The sequence below is a fragment of the Homo sapiens genome, chromosome 12, assembly GCF_000001405.40.
Source record: "Homo sapiens chromosome 12, GRCh38.p14 Primary Assembly".
NCBI lineage: Eukaryota > Metazoa > Chordata > Mammalia > Primates > Hominidae > Homo > Homo sapiens.
Window position 1 is genome coordinate 49,354,072 of NC_000012.12, and position 18,434 is coordinate 49,372,505.

An 18,434-nucleotide genomic window follows, 5' to 3' on the forward strand; every position below is an offset into this window, starting at 1 on the left:
GGAACTACTGATAAGCAGTTCTTATTTTTCCAGCATAAGCAAGGCTACAATAAATATCTTTGAATATATGTACTGATGCTTTTTGTTTTTTGTTGAAGCTATATCCCAATAAGTGATAAGTACGGTCTAAGAGAGAACATGTTTTTTACAATTTTGATTGATATCATATTGGGCCACGCATGGTGGCTCAGGCCTGGCATCCCAGCACTTTGGGAGGTTGAGGTGGGAGGATAGCTTGAGCTCAGGAGTTCAAGACCAGCTTGAGCAACCTAGTGAGACCTCATCTCTACTAAAAAAACAAAACAAACAAACACAAAATTAGCTAGGTGTGGTGGCATGTGCCAGTAGTCCCAGCTAGTTGGGAGGCTGAGGTGGAAAGATTGCTTGATCCTGGGAGGTTGAGGCTACAGTGAGCTGTGATGGTATCACTGCACTCTATCCTGGACAACACAGCAAGAACCTGCCTCAAACAAATGTATTTGGTTGATATTGTATCAGATTTCTTCTGAAAAACGTTTTAATGGTTTAGACTTTCACCAAGTGCAAGAAACTGGCATTTTCTTTGTAACTGGCCTGGAATGTTACCACTCTTTTAAACTTTTGTCAAGATGATCGTGAGAAATAGTATCTAATTACTTTAATTTGCATTTCCCTGACTCCTAATGAAGTTCAGCATCTCTTCAAATCTTTATTGGGCATTTGGATTTTCTCTTCAGTGAATTGCTTCATCATATTCTCCATTTATTCTAAAGTTGTGTTCCTATTTGTCGCTTTCAAATCTAGTTTGGTGGAATCCTTGCATGTTAGAAACCTTAACCCTCGTAATATGTGTTGTAGATATTTTTCCCTCGCCTATGAGTTGTCTTTCATCCTTGAGCATGAGTTTTAGAGTCAGAAGAACAACAGTAGGATTTGAATCATGTTACGTTATTTTCTAGTTGTCGTATTTTTTATTTCTTCAGCCTCTTAGAATCTTAGTTTCCTTTAAAATTGAGATAATAGTATCTACTTTATTCAAAAAAATTTTTTGGCTGGACGCGGTGGCTCACGCTTGTAATCCCACCATTTTGGGAGGCCAAGGCAGGCGGATCACCTGAGGTCAGGAGTTTGAGACCAGCTTGGCCAACATGGTGAAAACCCATCTCTACTAAAAATACAAAAATTAGCCAGGTACAGCGGGGCATGCCTGTAATCCCAAGTACTCAGGAGGCTGAGGCAGGAGAATCACTTGAACCCGGGAGGCAGAGATGAGGTAGTGAGCTGAGATCGCACCACTGCACTCCAGCCTGAGTGGTAGGGCGAGACTCTGTCTCAAAAAAAAAATTGTTTTTTCATTTATTTATTTATTGAGACAGGGTCTTGCTCTGTTGCCCAGGCTGGAGTTTAGTGGGGTGATCACAGCTCACTGTAGCCTGGAACTCCTGGGCCCAAGTGATCCTCCTGCCTCAACCTCCCAAGTAGCTGGGACTACAGACAGGCATCACCATACCTGGCTTTTTTTCTTTTTTTTTTTTTTTTTGGTAGAGATGGGGTCTTGCCATGTTGCCCAACCTGGTCTCTAACTTCTAGTTTCAACCCACCCTCCCGTTTGGCCTACGAAAGTGCGGGGATTACAGGTATGAGCCAAGTATCTACTTTAAAAGGGTTGCTGTGGCCAGGCGTGGTGACTCACACCTGTAATCTCAGCACTCTGGGAGGCTGAGGTTGGTGGATCACCTGAGGTCAGGAGTTTGAGACCAGCCTGGCCAATATGGTGAAACCCTTTCTCTACTAAAAATACAAAAAATTAGCCAGGCGTGGTGGCACATGCCTGTAATCCTAGCTACTCAGGAGGCTGAGGCAGGAGAATCACTTGAACCCAGGAGGTGGAGGTTGCAGTGAGCTGAGACTGCGCCATTGCACACCAGCCTGGGCGACAGAGTGAGACTCCACTTCAAAAAATAAAAAACACAAAAAATACAAAAATGAGCCGGGCATGGTGGCACACGCCTGTAGTCCCAACTACTCTGGAGGCTGAGTGGGGAGAATCGCTTGAACCCAGGGGGGCGGAGGTTACAGTGAGCCGAGATGGCGCCTCTGCACTCCAGCCTGGGCAACAGAGTGAGACTCCGTCTCAAAAAATAAAAAGAAAAAAAAAAGAAAAAAGAAAATGTGGCTGCCCAGAAGGTCAATCATGAGTGAGTTGTGATTGCGCCCCTGTACTCCAGCCTGGGCAACAGAGTGAGACACAGTCTGAAATAAATAAATAAATAAACAAAATAAAAACAAATAAGTAAATGAAATTAAAACAAAACCCAAAATACGGTCTTAAAAAAAGGACATTTAGTAAAATAATAGGAAATCTAAGACATTAACAAGTGAGTCTTCTTTATTTTCTACCTTAGTTGATTTAATGAAATCCAGTGATTTCATATTCTCCCATTTGCACAAAACAAAAATTCATAGATACTTTGAAGAGTTGGAAGGGAACTGAGAAGGCCTGTATCCCAAGCAACTATACAGTACAGAATCTTGGGAAAAGCTTGCCTTAGAGATGACCATTTCGGGTTTTGCTTGAATTGGAAATCTTCTACCTGTCTCACCTTTTAGACATCCTTAATTGTTCCCTAAATTGTTCCTAAATTTGCTTCCTTGTAATGTCTTTCTGGACCTGCCATCTCTTGCTACAAAGAACATAAAAAACCAAAAACCATTTCTTGATGAGATTCTGCCCTTCATCTCCTATCTCTCTAAGTCTTTCATTTGCCACATTTACCATCACTTTGTTTAAGGAGGAGGCACTGTAGTCCGAGTGAGGAGGGATGAAGAGGTGAAGAGATGGGTCTCTACTTCTACCTCTTGCATTGACCATACTGGTGACTTTGGGTGAGCCACCTTTCCATTAGGGCCTCTGTTTCTTTCTTGTCAGGTGAGGGAGATGGACTTAGATGACTTAGATGATTTTTTTTTTTTTGAGACGAAATCTACTTTGTTGCACAGGCTGGTGTGCAGTGGCACGGTCATAGCTCACTGCAGCCTTTACCTCCTGGGCTCAAGCAATCCTCTCACCTTGGCCTCCCAAAGTGTTGGGATTACAGGCATGAGCTACTGACCCCAGCCTAGATGACCTTTAAGCTTGCTTTCAACCTGCATTCTGGAGTTATTAGCTTTTCAGCTGAGGTTTTTATTAAATGGTTTTATTTGTCATCTTCTGTCTGCCCCCTTGTGGACATTGTTTTGGGAAGAAAATAAAATATTTAATTGCTCGAAGAACAATATAATGACCATCTCACCCTCCAAAAATTCACTTGCATCACACTGTTTGTTTTCAGTTATTCATGTTCACTTCTAGTCGTCGTTCATAAATGTACATCATTTTACATGGTTGAATCATATCAGGGACATAATTTTGTACTTTCCCCCCTCCCTGATAAAGATGATGTTTTTACAGTAAAATAAAAAAATGCTTGTGATTCAATAAGCTTTTAAAATATTACTATAAAGACTTTGTTATTATATATATTTAATTGAGATATAATTCATATAGCATAAACTTCACCCTTTAAAAGTGTACAATTCAGTGGTTTCTGATAGATTCACAAAGTTGTATAATTATCACCTCTATTTAATTCCAGAATGTTTTACCACCCCAAAAAGAAACTCCATACTCATCAGCAATCACTCTCTGTTTCCTCCTCTTCCTAGCCTCTGCAATCACTGATCTGCTTTCTGTCTCTAGATTTGCCTATCCTGGACATTTTATTTAAATGGCATCACACAATATGTTGTCCTTTGTGTGTGTCTGGCTTCTTTCATTGAACATAATGTTTCCAAGATTCAAATATGGGCTGGGTGTGGTGGCTCACGCCTGTAATCCCAGCACTTTGGGTGGCTGAGGTGGGCGGATCACGAGGTCAGGAGTTTGAGAGCAGCCTGACCAACATGGTGAAACCCTGTCTCTACTAAAAATACAAAAATTAGCTGGGTGTGGTGGCATGCATCTGTAGTCCCAGCTACTCAGGAGGCTGAGGCAGGAGTATCGTCTGAACCTGGGAGGCGGAGGAGGTTGCAGTGAGCTGAGATTGTGCCACCGCACTCCAGCCTGGGTGACAGAACGAGACTCTCAAAAAAAAAAAAAAGAAAAGAAAAGAAAAAATGATTCAAATATGTTGAAGCATGCATTATCATTACATTTTATTTTTTAATAACACACCATTATATCTTAAAGCTGTATAATATTCCCTTTTTGATAAACATTTATATAATGTTGTTGTAAATAATGTGGCATCGATATCTTCATGGCTCTAATTCATCTCTTCTCTTGAATTATTTCCTTAGAATAAATTCCCATGGGTGGGATTACTGGGTCAAAGGGTATGAACATTTTTTATAGCTCTTGTCAATATTGCTCTTAAATTGTGGTGCCCAGAACTAAATGCAATTCTGAGACGTGTTCAGACAGAACGGGGTACTGTGGGGCTGTTACGTTCTCAAGGTCTGAACAATATATCATCCTTTAAATCCAGCAGCCTAAAAATTTACTAGCTTTTTTTGGTTGCTATGTAAGTGTGACTCATTGAGTTTATAGTCAACTGAGGCCCTTAGATCTTTTCCTAGGCACTGTGTCTTAGAGCTATGTTTGCATCTACTCTAGGACCCAGGAGGCTTTTGAGGACTCACTGACTTTAGTACTCTATGTCTTAGTTTTCTTTTCTCTTGAACAGTGGGGTGGTCCTAACAAGCCTGGAGACGTGTGGTTTGTTGTAGTCTTAGCTAGGAACTGCAGATGGCGCTACAAGGCTGTCATGGTAAAATATGTCCCTCGGCTGTCCCCTTCACTTAAAAAAAAATGTGGTAGTGGCACCTCCATAGCAGGTTCATTACCAGAGTTCAGTCCTCTCCTTTTGCTGAGAAGGAGCAAGCAACTGTGAAGTTGGATTTGGGGTGTTATTCAAAGCAAGCTCCAACTGAAGCATGCTTTTCAGTTGTCATTTAATCTCCTAGGGGAATCTAGAGCTGTCTATTTCATGTTAGAACTTTGAACGCACATCTCATGCCAGTGCTTTGGCTTTTGAAGTTCCCACCCTGAGAAGGTGATTTAAAATGTTTTTCTTTTGCTTCATGTTCCCTGCAGTATTTCTGTTAGTCGCCTCAAGGGATTAAAAGTTGTTCAACTGTTTTGTTTTGTTTTGTTTTGTTTTTGCTAAGATGAGTTTTGAGCAATAAAAGTAAAAAATTTATGTAGGGTTCCAGCTAAAGATACTTCATTTCAATAATTTGTTCTCTCTTTTCTTTCTTATTCTTCTTTTTCCCCACCTCTCATTCACCCTTTCCATAGTCCATCTGGTTATTTGCAAACTATTATGACTCTAAGCAAGGATCTTGGACTTTCTGGGTTTAAACGTTACTGACAAGTTTCAACAGAACAAAGCAGTAAAACAGTGCCCTGTATGGGAAACTTGGAAGGGAATCTTTTTTTTTTTTTTTTGAGACGGAGTTTCGCTCTTGTTGCCCAGGCTGGAGTGCAATGGCACCATGTCAGCTCACCACAATCTCCACCTCCCGGGTTCAAGCGATTCTCCTGCCTCAGCCTCCTGAGTAGCTGGGATTACAGGCATGTACCACCACACCCAGCTAATTTTGTATTTTTAGTAGAGACGGGGGTTTCTCCATTTTGGTCAGGCTGGTCTCGAACTCCCAACCTCAGGTGATCTGCTCGCCTTGCCCTCCCAAAGTGTTGGGATTACAGGCCACCACTCCCAGCCCAGAAGGGAATCTTTTAACCCATTCTGTGCCAGACCTCAGTCCCAATTCTGGGTTGAGAAATGTTGTGGGGAACATCTGCTGGGCAGTGACTGAGTCAGCATGTGAGCCTGGCTTTGCAAGCAACACCTAAAAGGGCATTTTTCCTAGAATCAATGGCTCAGGCACATTTCAGGTGAATTAGTACCAGAAAAGGAACGGGAGCTGGGTGTGATGATGGGCGGAGGCGGGGGGATCACTTGAGCCCGGGAGTTTGAGGCTACAGTGAGTTATGATTCTGCCACTGTACTCCAACCTAGGCAACAGAGCAAGCCCCTGCCTCAAATAAATAAATAAGAAATTTATTAATCTGTCTCAAGAGTGGGGAAAAAAAAGGCCAGGCATAGTGGCTGATGCCTATAATCCTAGCACTTTTGAGAGGCTAAGGCAGGAGGATCACTTGAACCCAGTGGGGAAGATTGCTTGAGTTTGAGACCGGCCTGGGCAACATGGGGAGACCCCATCTCTATAAAAAAAAAAAAATTAGCCAGGCCTGGTGGCTCACACCTGTAGTCCAAGCCACTGGGAAGGCTGCAATGGGAGGACCAGTTGAGCCTGGGAGCTGGAGGCTGCAGTGAGCAATGATCCCATCACTGCACTCCAACCTGGGCAACAGAGTGAGAACCCTGTCTCTTAAAAAAAAAAAAAGGAATGGGGCTTGGCGCCGGTGACTAACGCCTGTAATCCCAGCACTTTGGGAGGCCAAGGCAGGTGGATCACGAGGTCAAGAGATTGAGACCATCCTGGCCAACATGTGAAACCCCGTCTCTACTAAAACTTCAAAAAAATTAGCTGGGCATGGTGGCGCACCTGTAGTCCCAGCTACTTGGGAGGCTGAGGCAGGAGAATCGCTTGAACCCGGGAGGTGGAGGTTGCCGTGAGCTGAGATCGCGCCACTGCACTCCAGCCTGGGTGACAGTGCGAGACTCTGTCTCAAAAAAAAAAGAAAAGAATGGGAAGGGGTTGTGGGACATAAAACGTCTTTGGTTCAGGTGTTTCCCAGTCACAGATCTGAGGGCCACTGAGGCTTGTTTTACTCCCCCACCCCTCCTTCCATATCCTTACCCACTTTAGACGTGGTTTCTCTTGCTTTTTCCTCCCTTTCCCTCCCATGAACCACAGGAGAGAGTGTACGTTTAATATTCAGTAAATTTGATATTCAGTGCCTGCAAACTTACTTCGTCTTAGCAGTTGACTTTTCTTGCACAGCCAAGATGACTGATCATTTCAGACCCATCTCCCTTCAGGCTCTAATTCTTCTCCATCAATGTGTTTGTTTTGATATTTCTGCCTTTGGTTGATGTTCTTCTTCTTTCCTATAATTATTTTTCCTCTCTGCTAAATCTTTTTTTTTTTTTTTTTTTGAGATGGAGTTTCGCTCTTGCCCAGGCTGGAGTGCAGTGGTGTGATCTTGGCTCATTGCAACCTCCGCCTCCTGGGTTCAAGTGATTCTTGTGCCTCAGCCTCACGAGTAGCTGGGATTATAGGCGCCCGCCACCACGCCAGGCTAATATATTTGTATTTTTTGTAGAGACAGGATTTCATCATATTGGCCAGGCTGGTCTCGAACTCCTGACCTCAGGTGAGCCACCGGCCTCAGCCTCCCAAAGTGCTGGGATTACAGGCATTAACCACCATGCCTAGCCTTGCTAATACAAATCTTTACACTTCTTTTATGACCTAGCTTAAGGTTTATCCCTAAATGATGCCTTTGCTGATTAATTCCACCTCTAGTAATCTTTGCCCTTTGAATTCCTTCTGTATTCCCATCTAGTTTGTACTGTTCTATCAATAAGTTTCTTGCATGTTGCCATATAAATTGTTCTCTGTCTCATGTTTGCAAGTCTTCTCTTCTTAACTATACCAAAGCTGCTTGAGGGCAAGTGACTGTGTCTTCTCCTAATGTAAATAGCAGGACATTTATTAAATGTGCAACCTAGGTAAATTATTGAAAAATTTTGAGCTTCAGTTTCCTCATTTGTTACATGAGGACAATGATGCCTGCACCACACAATGTTCAGACAATCAAATGAGACAATGTGTACAGAGTGCTTTATGAAGTATAAAACATTTGACAGAAGTGAAGCATACTATTTTTTTAAAGTGGTGACAGAATCTATAAATGAAAGATAATTTAAAAACTTAATAAAAGAACTTAGAGTACAGCAATATTAGTTACTATCTTACACATAGGACAAATTCACTTAATATCAAAGTCAAGTCTTAATGAACCTGCAAGGCTCACATTGAACTGAATTTTTCAGATCTGAGTTTTGGGTCCAGCATTGCCAATAATTTTGTGATGTAACACTTCAACCTTTGATAGTTTAAGGCCTTTCCCAGCTTTAAATATCTGATACACAAGTGAAAATTTGGGTATGTTAGCCTTGTTTTTGGGCCTCAGTTTTGTTATCTGTAAAATGGGAAATCTGACCTAATTAAACCATTTTAATTGAACTTTATACAATGGATGTTCAAAGACACATTAATTCTGCAAAAAAGTCTTGGGGGTGGGGATGGGAGTGGGAAGAGCTTCCTTGGGGAAAGCTGCACACTACATAGCCTGCTCGCTTCAATATGAACAAAGCATGGTATCATATTAAATATTCTGGGAAGTAAATACACCAGTTTAACTTGATTTTAACCTGTGCTTCCCAAACTTAATTGGACATGGAATAGTTTTCTCAGATAACATCTATTTAGTATCCCATGAAACGAATTTTCTGAGGCACACTTTGGACTGCTAACATGAATATTCTTAGGTACTAGGGTTAGTATAGGCAAAAGGAAAAGTACAATCTTATGAGCTGTTCTCTACTGGTTTTTGTGCCTGTTGTCACTTGCAGCTTCAGTCAATGGAAACTTTAAAACATTATGTTTCTTAATTACAGTCATTGGTTATCAAGTCTCCAAGATAATAAGTTAAATTTTTGTGCCTCTCAGGCTCTAGTTGGCCTCTTTTTCTTCCTAATAAAAACATGGAATCTGGCAATCAATTATTTAAGATACAAAATATCAAGTCAAGGATCCATTTGAAAACATATCAAATTAGGTCAGGTTAATACCTGCAGAATATATCTGCCAAGGTGAAGCTTATGTCATGATTTCTCTCTAATTCTAGTTCTGGCACTTGATCATTAAGTAACATGGGATAAATTAATTTCGTAAGGCTGAACAGAGGCTAATGGATCTCATTTGAAAATGATCTTTTTCTTTTTTAACCCTTAACATCTATGCTAAACATTTCAGAAATTTGGTTATTTTTGTGTTTTCTTCAGCGTAGGTCACAAATATTATATTTTGCATTTATTGCAGCATTTATTTTCCTCCAAAATAATTTATACATGCACTTTGAACAATTTGCAATTATTTCAAGGCAGGTGACGATAAATGTTTTATTGTGAAGTAAAACATACACAGTATGCCGGGCGCGGTGGCTCATGCCTGTAATCCCAGCACTTTGGGAGGCTGAGACAGGTGGATCACCTGAGGTCAGGAGTTCGAGACCAGCCTGACCAACATGGAGAAACCCTGTCTCTACCGAAAATACAAAATTAGCCGGGCGGGGTGGCACATGCCTGTAATCCTAGCTGCTCAGGAGGCTGAGGCAGGAGAATCGCTCGAACCCAGGAGGTGGAGGTTGCGGTGAGCTGAGATCATGCCATTGAACTCCAGCCTGGGCAACAAGAGTGAAACTCCGTCTCAAAAAAATACATAAATAAACATACACAGTAGAAAATGTATGTGCATTATAAAGAACAAAAATAGGCCAGGCCTGGTCAAGCCTGTAATCTCAGCACTTTGGGAGGCTAAGGCGGTTGGATCATCTAAGGTCAGGAGTGCGAGACCAGCCTGGCCAACATGGTATAAACCCCATCTCTACTAAAAATACAAAAATTAGCTGGGCTTGGTGGCAGGCGCCTGTAATCCCAGCTACTCGGGATGTTGAGAGAGGACGATTGCTTGCACCCGGGAGGCAGACGTTGCAGTGGGCTGAGATTGGGTCATCGGACTCCAGCGTGGGCGACGAGAGCAAAACTCCGTCTCAAAAACAACAACAACAAAATTAATATTTGTAACCCAGGTCAAAAAATATTTTTGAAACATTTGTTCAATGTCCCTTTAGAGAGGTTGAGTGCTGCATGGAGAAAGGGCAAAGGTGGGCCATGAGTTGCAGTACCCCTTTTGCAAACCCCACTCAGCAAGACATATGCTAAAGCAACCTGCTCTCCTTGGAGGAGAGATATTTTTTGAGTAAAATCCTTGTGAGGAGGTCATGTTTACTACCACCCCAGGGGCTTAGCAAAATGTGCCTTCCAACCACACCCCAAACTTTCCCTTGGAGGAGACTTGTTAAATGCAATATTCTCCATCTTGTTAGATTTCCAGTGATGTTTTAACAGCTCTCATACCCTAGGGTGCTCCTTAATCTACCTCCCTTCTCTTGGAGAAGGCTATCCACATATACAAAGTGTCTCCTAGCCGGGTGTGGTGGCTCAGGCCTGTAATCCCAGTGCTTTGGGAAGCCCAGGAGGGAGGGTCATTTGAGCCCAGGAGTTCAAGACCAGCCTGGGCAATGTGTTGAGACACCCATCTGTACAAAAAATTTAAAAATTAGCTGGGCGTGGAGGCCGGCGCCATAGTCCTAGCTACTCGGGAGGCCGACGGGGAGGATCCCTTGAGCCCAGGAATTCAAGGTTACAGTGAGCTATGATTGTGCCACTATACTCAAGCCTGGGCAACAGAGGGAGACCCTGTCTCCAAAACAAACAAAAAAGTCTCTCCTATTAGATCAGGGAATCTCTTGGGAGAGGCATCATGTCTTCCCCACAACAGACTACGTTATTAAGAATGGGAACTTTTTTTATTTGATAAGGTCTCATTCTGTTGCCCAGGCTGGAGTGCAGTGGCGTGATCACAGCTCACTGCAGCCTTGACCTCCTGGGCTCAAGGAATCCTCCTACCTCAGCCTCCTGGGCAGCTGGGACAACAAGCACAGCCACCTCAGCCAGCTAATTTATTTTTTGTAGAGACAGGGTCTCCCTATGTTGCCCAGGCTAATCTCAAACCCCTGGGCTCAAGTGATCCACCTCAGCCTCTCAAAGTTTTGGGATTACAGGCATGAGCCACCGAACCTGGCCAAGAATGGGGACTTTATTTTCCAGCCAAAAAACTTGTATTGGCTTTGCAGCACCAACAGGCCCTATAATGAAGGCATTTCCTGAACTGAGTGACTTTTGGTGAGTGAAACCAGTCTTTGTGGAATAGGACTCAAGGCTCGCATCCCACACCTCATGATGAAGTTCTCCATTTACCAGGGTCATATCCTCCTGTTCCTACTCTGTATGGGAAGGAAGGGGAATTGTGCAAGAATTAGTCACTCATTCCTTTCTGTTCCTAAACCACTTTGTACTTTTCTGCTTCAACACTATGTTATTATAGTCATTTAATAACTTATATTTGTTTTTTGTAGAGATGGGGGACCTTGTTATGTTGCTCAGGCTGGTCTCAAACTCCTGGGCTCAAGCAATCCTCCCACCTTGGCCTCTCAAAGTGTTGGGATTACAGGCATAAGCTGCTGCAACTGGCCTATTTAATAACTTTATCCTCCTTTGGAACTGGATACTCTCCTTGGGGTAATGATTTTTTTTATTCTTCTTTGTAAATGTTCGAATACCTAGAACAATACCCACCATCATTGAGTAGGTGCCAATTTAGTGAATGAAAAGAAAGCAGACATTTGGATAATTTGCTTCTATTTGAATTTTTGAATGAAGATTGAATAGTAAGGAACATATAGTCCAGTGCCGTACCTAGCTGGATGACTTCGTCTTCTGCTTATCTAGATCAGTAAATCATATGGTTGGAGTAGATGAGACATTACTAACCACAGGTCATTGGACTCCAGGCGATTTTTGAGCCCTTACCTCAAGCAACGTTAAAAACCACAAGGATCAGATGGCTTGGCAAAGCTCTACTATACTACTCAGTTACATGTACTGTGATTGCAATAACATACGTGGAAACCAAAATGACATGTGCCTGTGGTGTCTAGCTATACACTGACACACACTCTCCAGCTTGTTGGTGCCTTTTCAGAGCCCCTTTGCTTGGCCTCAAAAGGTAAGATGAGGACAAATTCTAATATATATATATATTTTTTGAGATGGAGGGTGGAGTGCAGTGGTGCAATCCCGGCTCACTGCAACCTCCGACTCCTGGGTTCAGGTTATTCTCCTGCCTCAGCCTCCCGAGTAGCTGAGATTACAGGCGTGTGCCACCACATCCGGCTAATTTTTGTATTTTTTGTAGAGACGGGGTTTCACTATGTTAGCCAGGCTGGTCTCGAACTCCTGACCTCAAGTCATCCGCCCGCCTCGGCCTCTCAGAAGTGCTGGGATTACAGACGTGAGCCACCGCGCCCGGCCCCAGATTCTAATAAATATTTTCAATGCTGACTGTCTAAATCCCTCTGGCCCCTCTTAATAGACCCCTGACCAGTCGACACTGAGGTAAGTGCTTTATGCATGCAGAAAGGGTGCACAAATACTAGTTAGTTCCAGCACCAGGGAGGTTGGGAGTCTGGCGTCGAAGAGAGTATTTAACAGAAAAGATTCGAAGGGCGGCGGGACCGACCACCGCCGCGTAGAGGGGCTATGCTGACAGCTGGGTAGATCAGAAACCCGACTGACGATCCCGAGGTCATTCTTCCCGCGCCCCCACCGGCCTCTGCGCTCTCTCAGGAGGCAGAGCGACCGCGCGGTCCGGAGGCCCCAGCGTTTCCCGTCGTTGGCGACTCTGAAATTGCCTTTTGGAACAAAACTTGGGTCGGGAAGGAGGCGAAGGGGAAAGCGGTGTGAAGTCCTCGGTACGGAAGAGTGAGCGGCGCTGTACCCGGCGGCCAGAGAAAAAGCTTCCCAACCCGGACATTGAGCAAAAGCCCCGCGCTCGACTCCCCTAGCGGCGCCCGCGTTCGGCCACCTCCGGGGGAGTTTCGGCTCTTTCCGTCAGTTCAGCTCGGGCCCTCCGTTCCCGGCGCGCGCCGGGTCCCTAACCGATGCCGCCGGGTACGAGCTGTGCTGCACGCGGACGCGAGCTCGCGTCCCACCCGTTTTCCCCTTCCATCTACTTTGTCCCCAACCCTCTCCCCGAGTCTCTTCCTTTCCCCGGTAATTCCCAGTCTCCGGTGGCGCGCGAGCCTGCGGACGGTGCGAGACGCGAGGGACCGGGCCCCGAGAAGAGCGGTAACCCGACTGGTCGGAGCCCGCCTCTCGCCGCCCCGCGCCTCTCCCCGATCTTCTCGGTCTCCGGTGCGCGGGCCGTCTCGCCGCTCGAGCCGCGCTCGCGCACCCGTTGGCTGCCACAGCCTCGAGCTTGGCGCGCCGGATTCGCGCCGGCGCGAGTACGCGCCCTGAGCTCTGGCTGGCTGGCTGGCGCGCACGCGCCCGAGAGGGCTCCGGGGCGGGGCGAGCCGCTGCCTGGGCGAGGGTCGGGGTGATCTGCTGGATCTCCGGCAGCATCCTGCAGTCCGGCCCAGGAGAGAAGTGGGGAGGCGGCGGTGGGGGCGGGGCGGCGTCCGGCTCTGAGAGAGCTGGGGGAGGAGCGCGGCGGCGACGGCGGCGGTGGCTCTAGAAGGGGAGGTGGAGGATCTCCTTTCCTCTTCTCAGACCCGGGAGCGTCCGGGACGCGGAGCCCGGAGCTGGGGCGACGAGGCGATTGCGGGGGCCTGGGCTAGGTGAGGCTAAGGGTGCTGGGTGGCGGGGTTGGCGGGGGCTCAGAGGGCGCCGAGGTGCGGGGAGCGGGTTGAGGGAGGAAAAAGAGGGAGGGGGTAGTTGGGGGCGGGGGGACGGGAAGGAGGGGGATGTGAGCCCTTAGAGGCCCGAAGTGCCCAGAGGGTGGAAGGTTCCTGGGGTCTGTGGGGCGGGTGAAACACCCGCGTCGGAGTTGGGGAGTTTCCAGACGGATAGGCCGGGGAAACAATGGAGTGTGGGGGGGACTCTGGCGTGAGCGTGTGTGGGGTATTGGATTTTAAGAAACAACGAGCGAGATAGAACGAAAGAATAGGATCATTTGGGATGAGAAGTACAATGAATTAGGAATGCAGTAGGGATGCGTAAGGTCACCTCCGTGGCTGTGCGAGGTCCTTAGCATTCGGGGGCAATAATGAGATTTGAAAATAAGGGAGAGAAGGGCGTTCTTGGAATTGAAGGGGGAGACGAAATGGAAAATCAGGCGAACAGACGCAGAGACATAAAATAGATGTGGTTAGGACTTGGATTAAAGCAGAAAGGTAGATTCAGTCAGTTTTGGACTACAGTGATATTTTTCTCATAATTCATCCAGAATGATTAGGTTCTTTTAGAAAGTGGATCTTTCTCAAGCTTGTCCCTCTGTTAAGGAGTACAAGCCGTTCTTTAAATAATTTGATTATCGCTTGTCCATTTTATTGATAAAACATGCCTGTGATATTTACTTCCCCTCTGTTTAGCAGGCTACTGTTCCTAATTTACCTACGGTTAATGAAGCAGGAGAGGACAGATCACCAAAAATATCTTGCTTTAAGTTAGGTCAGTGATAATGCAGATTTCAGTGTTTTGGAGAGAACCAAAAGCTTGGTTGTTTGTTTTCAGTTTGACCAAAAGGTGATGGATAAAATTAAGTTACCTGTACTTTGTTAGAATTGCAATTTCTCACTGAGAAATGTTCTTGTGCCATCTGCTACTGGTTTTGTGTTTGTGGGAGAGAGTTGGGGTTCTGCCTTAAATTATTTCTTGATGTTAACTTCAAATAGGCTGCCTCATACCTTCCAGTTTCAATTAAGGTGATTTGGGAATATTGATTATGATGTTTGCATTTCCTTAATATTTGGATTTCCAGACCAAATTTGTGATTGTACTAGATAGAAAATTGCCGATTTTGAAATTGTAATGACCATTGTGTGCTCCTAAGTAGTCCATGTTAAGCCTTTTATTTGTTGGGCATTAAGTTTTGCTGACTCATCTAAGATTTATGGACATTAATCAGTTTGTATTTCTCAGCTAGGTCTTGGATGGTAGCATTTAGGTTACTTTACAAAGGTCCAAAAATAATGATTTAAATTGTTACTTTTCTTAGATGTTATGAAAATTGAACAAAGCAAGAAATGAGTGCAGTGTTCTCATTAGTGACAATGTGCCTCTTTTTTTTTTTTTTTTTTTTTTTGAGATGGAGTCTTGCTCTGTTGCCCAGGCTAGAGTGCAGTGGCGTGATCTCGGCTCACTGCAACCTCCATCTCCCGGGTTCAAGCGACCCCAGCCTCCCAAGTAGCTGGAATTACAGGTGCCCGCCAGCACGCCTGGCTAATTTTTGTATTTTTAGTAGAGACGGGGGTTTCACCATCTTGGCCAGGCTGGTCTCGAACTCTTGACCTCTTGATCCATCTGACTTGGCCTCCCAAAGTGTTGGGATTACAGGCGTGAGCCACCGCAGCCTAATGTGCCTCTTTTTTAATTGACCTCTTTCAGTGGGCTAGCCAAGGTGCTAAGATTTTTTTGTATGTATTATCTCATTCAATCCTCACAATTATTTCATATTTTGTAAATTAAGAGGTTAAATAATTTACTAAGGTCACAGAGCTAGTAAATAACAAAGCTTTATTCAGACCTAGCTGTATCGGATGCCTTTTTTAAAATCTTCACTACCTGTTTGCTCTTTCTGCTTCACCCTCATCTTGGTTATAGTAAAGCAGCATGAACTGGTTGAAACTTGGGTCTGATAACTGTGATTTAGATGAAGATTAAGTTAGTAGGCTGTAGCCTACTCTGTGGAGTTCATTGAAGGTTTACTGCTCCTGTGATTTAACAAAGGTCTGGGATCCTGATAAATAGGGCTAAAAACATCTTTTTGCTTAGGATTTGTCCTGCGACCACACTTAGTTTTCTGTTTAGTCTTATACTGCTGAGGTACTGTGCATACGTGGCACTCTTACTTGTAGAAGTCAAGACAGCCAGTTGTGGAGCCAAACCAATTAACTCTGGAAAACAATTGAAAACTGCTCAGTACTCAGGTGCCCTTGAGCCCACAATTGGTACTAGCATTACCTCTAAATATAGATAGGATCCTTTTAGAAACCAGGAGTGAAACAACTAGAACTGAGGGAAACAGCTGGGGCCTGAGGGAGGAGCCACAGGTTATGGCCAAAACATGAGCATAGCCCCTGGAGGCCGATCAGGCTAAGACAGGAGGGAATTTTCGTTTGTTGAGCATTTATGTATTCCAGGCGCTGAACTCAGTGTACATTATTACCTTATCTGTTAGTTGTAAGTATTATCCTTATTTTTCAGATGAGGCTCAGAAGGGCTAAAAGTAACTTACACAAAGTCACTTTATAATGGCAGTGAAGAAAATTTGTGTATACTATTCTAAAAATTGCTGCTTTCAGTTTCCCATTGTAGGGTCACCATATTAAAACTGGGAACTAAAAGTCACTCTTTCAGATATACCTGGCTTCTCATGTGTGTAACTGATTATTTCAGTCTTGCTGCTTTCATTGGAAACTGGAAGGAAAAGCTTGTATTTTTTGGATGTAATTGTTAGGAAGTACAGTCCATTCATTATATTACCAAATGACCTGTAGAATATAATTCAGCTTCCTCAGTTGCTTAGTGTATATCTGCAGCAACATGAAAATAGCATGTCCATCCCTTCTTTTCTGGGATCTTCACTTTCAACGAAGTCATCTAGACTCTGGAGGATGACAGTGAAGCTTGCCTGTTACAGACTCTTCCACTTTTCTCAATATGTTTGACAGTTGTTCTTGGTTATTTATTTATGTTTTAGAGACAGGATCTCGCTATGTTGCCCAGTCTGGCCTCAAACTCCAGGGCTTAAAAGATCTTCCCGCCTCAGCTTCCAGAGTAGCTGGTATTGGCTAGTTTGTTTACTCCCCCCCAACCTCCTCCCACCTGCCCAGAAAGGATCTCACTCTGTCGCCCAGGCTGGAGTGCAGTGGTACAATCATGGCTCACTGTTTGACCACGCCCAGTTAACTTTTGTATTTTTTTGTAGAGTCAGGGTTTCGCTGTGTTGCCCAGGCTGGTCCCCAACTCTTGGGCTCAAGCAATCCACCCGCCTTGGCCTCCCAAAGTGTTGGGATTATAGCATGAGCCACCTCACCTGGCCTTTTTGTTTACTTAAAAAAAATTATTGTGGTAAACTATACATAACAAAAAATTTAGCGTTTTAACCATTTTTAAGTGTATGGATCAGTGGCATTAAGTACATTCACATTGCTGTGCAACCATCACCACCATCCATCTTGGGAATTTTTTTATTTTCCCAGACTGAAGCTCTATATCTATTAAACAATAATTCCTTGTTTCTCTTTCTCTACCCAGCTGCTGGCTACCAATATTCTACTTTCTGTCTCTATGAATGTGACTACCCTGGTTACCTCATATGTAAGTGGAATCATACAATATTTACTTTTTTGTGTCTGGTGTGTACCACTTAGCATATCTTCACAATTCATCCATGTTGTAGCATATGTCAGAATCTTATTCCTTTTTAAGCCTGAATAATATTCCATTGTATGTACACATCACATTTTGTTTATCCATTCATTCTCAATGGACATTTGGGTTCCTTCCACCTTTTGGCTGTTGTGAATAATGGTGCTGTGAATTTTGGTGTACAAATACTTGTTCGAGTCCCTCTGTATTGATCCATTCTCATATTGCTGTAAAGAAATACCTGAGACTGGGTAATTTATAAAGAAAAGAGGTTGAATTGGCTCATGGTTCTGCAGGCTGTACAGGAAGCATAGCAGCTTCTGGGGAGGCCTCAGGAAGCTTATGATCATGGCAGGAGGCAAAGGGAAAGCAGGCATGTCTAGGTGGCTGGAGCAGGAGGAAGAGAGAGAGGTGGGGGGAAGTGCTACACACGTTTAAACAACTAGATCTTGTGAGAACAACCCCAGGGGACTGGTACTAACCCATTCATGAGAAACCACCCCAATATTCCAGTCACCTCCCACCAGGCCCCACCTTCAACACTGGGGATTACAATTTGACAGGAGATTTGGTGGTGACACAGATCCAAACTATATCGCCCTCCTTTCAGGTTTTTTTTTTTTTTTTCTATTTACACAGAAGTAGAATTGCTGGATCCTATGGTAATTCTATGTTTAGTTTTTTGAGTAGGCTTGGTTACTTTTATTTTTTATTTGTTTTTTTGGAGACAGTCTTGTTCTGTCGCCCAGGCTGGAGTGCAGTGGCACGATCTCAGTTCACTGCAACCTCTGCCTCCTGGGTTTAAGCGATTTTCCTGCCTCAGCCTCCAAGTAGCTGAGACTACAGGCATGCACCACCACACCTGGCTAATTTTTGTCTTTTTAGTAGAGATGAAGTTTCGCCATTTTGGCCAGTGTAATCTCAAACTCCTGGCCTCAAGTGATCCACCCGCCTCAGCCTCTCAAAGTGCTGAGATTACATGCGTGAACCACTGTGGCCTGCTGAGGCTTGGTTACTTTTAAGCGGTGATTTTGTCATATGCTACCTGAAGGTAGCACTTGATGGTGCTTTCTCTATTGACTTTTTCTGTATTGCTAGCAGGACACTTAGGGTGGAAATGATTCAAAAGGAAATGTTTTACCCAGTTTTCATGTATCCAATGTG

At 44.3% G+C, this 18,434-nt stretch overlaps 1 protein-coding gene across 17 annotated transcripts in view, besides 5 other annotated features; it reads left to right on the top strand.

Annotated features, from left to right (window-relative positions):
• Positions 12,471–12,730: an enhancer, noted in NCBI's record as "active region_6314". NCBI's record gives its function as "activates an Ori minimal core promoter by ATAC-STARR-seq in GM12878 lymphoblastoid cells {active_cell/tissue: GM12878}" and the evidence as "EXISTENCE:reporter gene assay evidence [ECO:0000049][PMID:35858748]".
• Positions 12,781–18,434, top strand: part of SPATS2 (spermatogenesis associated serine rich 2) — a 160,574-nt gene continuing 154,920 nt past the window's right edge. For 7 of the 17 annotated variants that reach the window (NR_120663.2, NM_001293285.2, XM_047429407.1 and 4 more), the window contains exons 1-2: positions 13,391–13,516; positions 17,157–17,219. The gene's annotated coding sequence lies outside the window, so the exon portion shown is untranslated. Of the gene's footprint in view, positions 12,951–13,390; positions 13,517–17,156; positions 17,220–18,434 lie in introns of those variants that run through there. The other 10 variants (XM_047429406.1, XM_047429408.1, XM_047429404.1 and 7 more) reach the window with 4 other exon arrangements.
• Positions 13,021–13,500: a silencer, noted in NCBI's record as "silent region_4435". NCBI's record gives its function as "represses an Ori minimal core promoter by ATAC-STARR-seq in GM12878 lymphoblastoid cells {active_cell/tissue: GM12878}" and the evidence as "EXISTENCE:reporter gene assay evidence [ECO:0000049][PMID:35858748]".
• Positions 13,521–13,570: a silencer, noted in NCBI's record as "silent region_4436". NCBI's record gives its function as "represses an Ori minimal core promoter by ATAC-STARR-seq in GM12878 lymphoblastoid cells {active_cell/tissue: GM12878}" and the evidence as "EXISTENCE:reporter gene assay evidence [ECO:0000049][PMID:35858748]".
• Positions 13,601–13,670: a silencer, noted in NCBI's record as "silent region_4437". NCBI's record gives its function as "represses an Ori minimal core promoter by ATAC-STARR-seq in GM12878 lymphoblastoid cells {active_cell/tissue: GM12878}" and the evidence as "EXISTENCE:reporter gene assay evidence [ECO:0000049][PMID:35858748]".
• Positions 15,767–15,906: an enhancer, noted in NCBI's record as "active region_6315". NCBI's record gives its function as "activates an Ori minimal core promoter by ATAC-STARR-seq in GM12878 lymphoblastoid cells {active_cell/tissue: GM12878}" and the evidence as "EXISTENCE:reporter gene assay evidence [ECO:0000049][PMID:35858748]".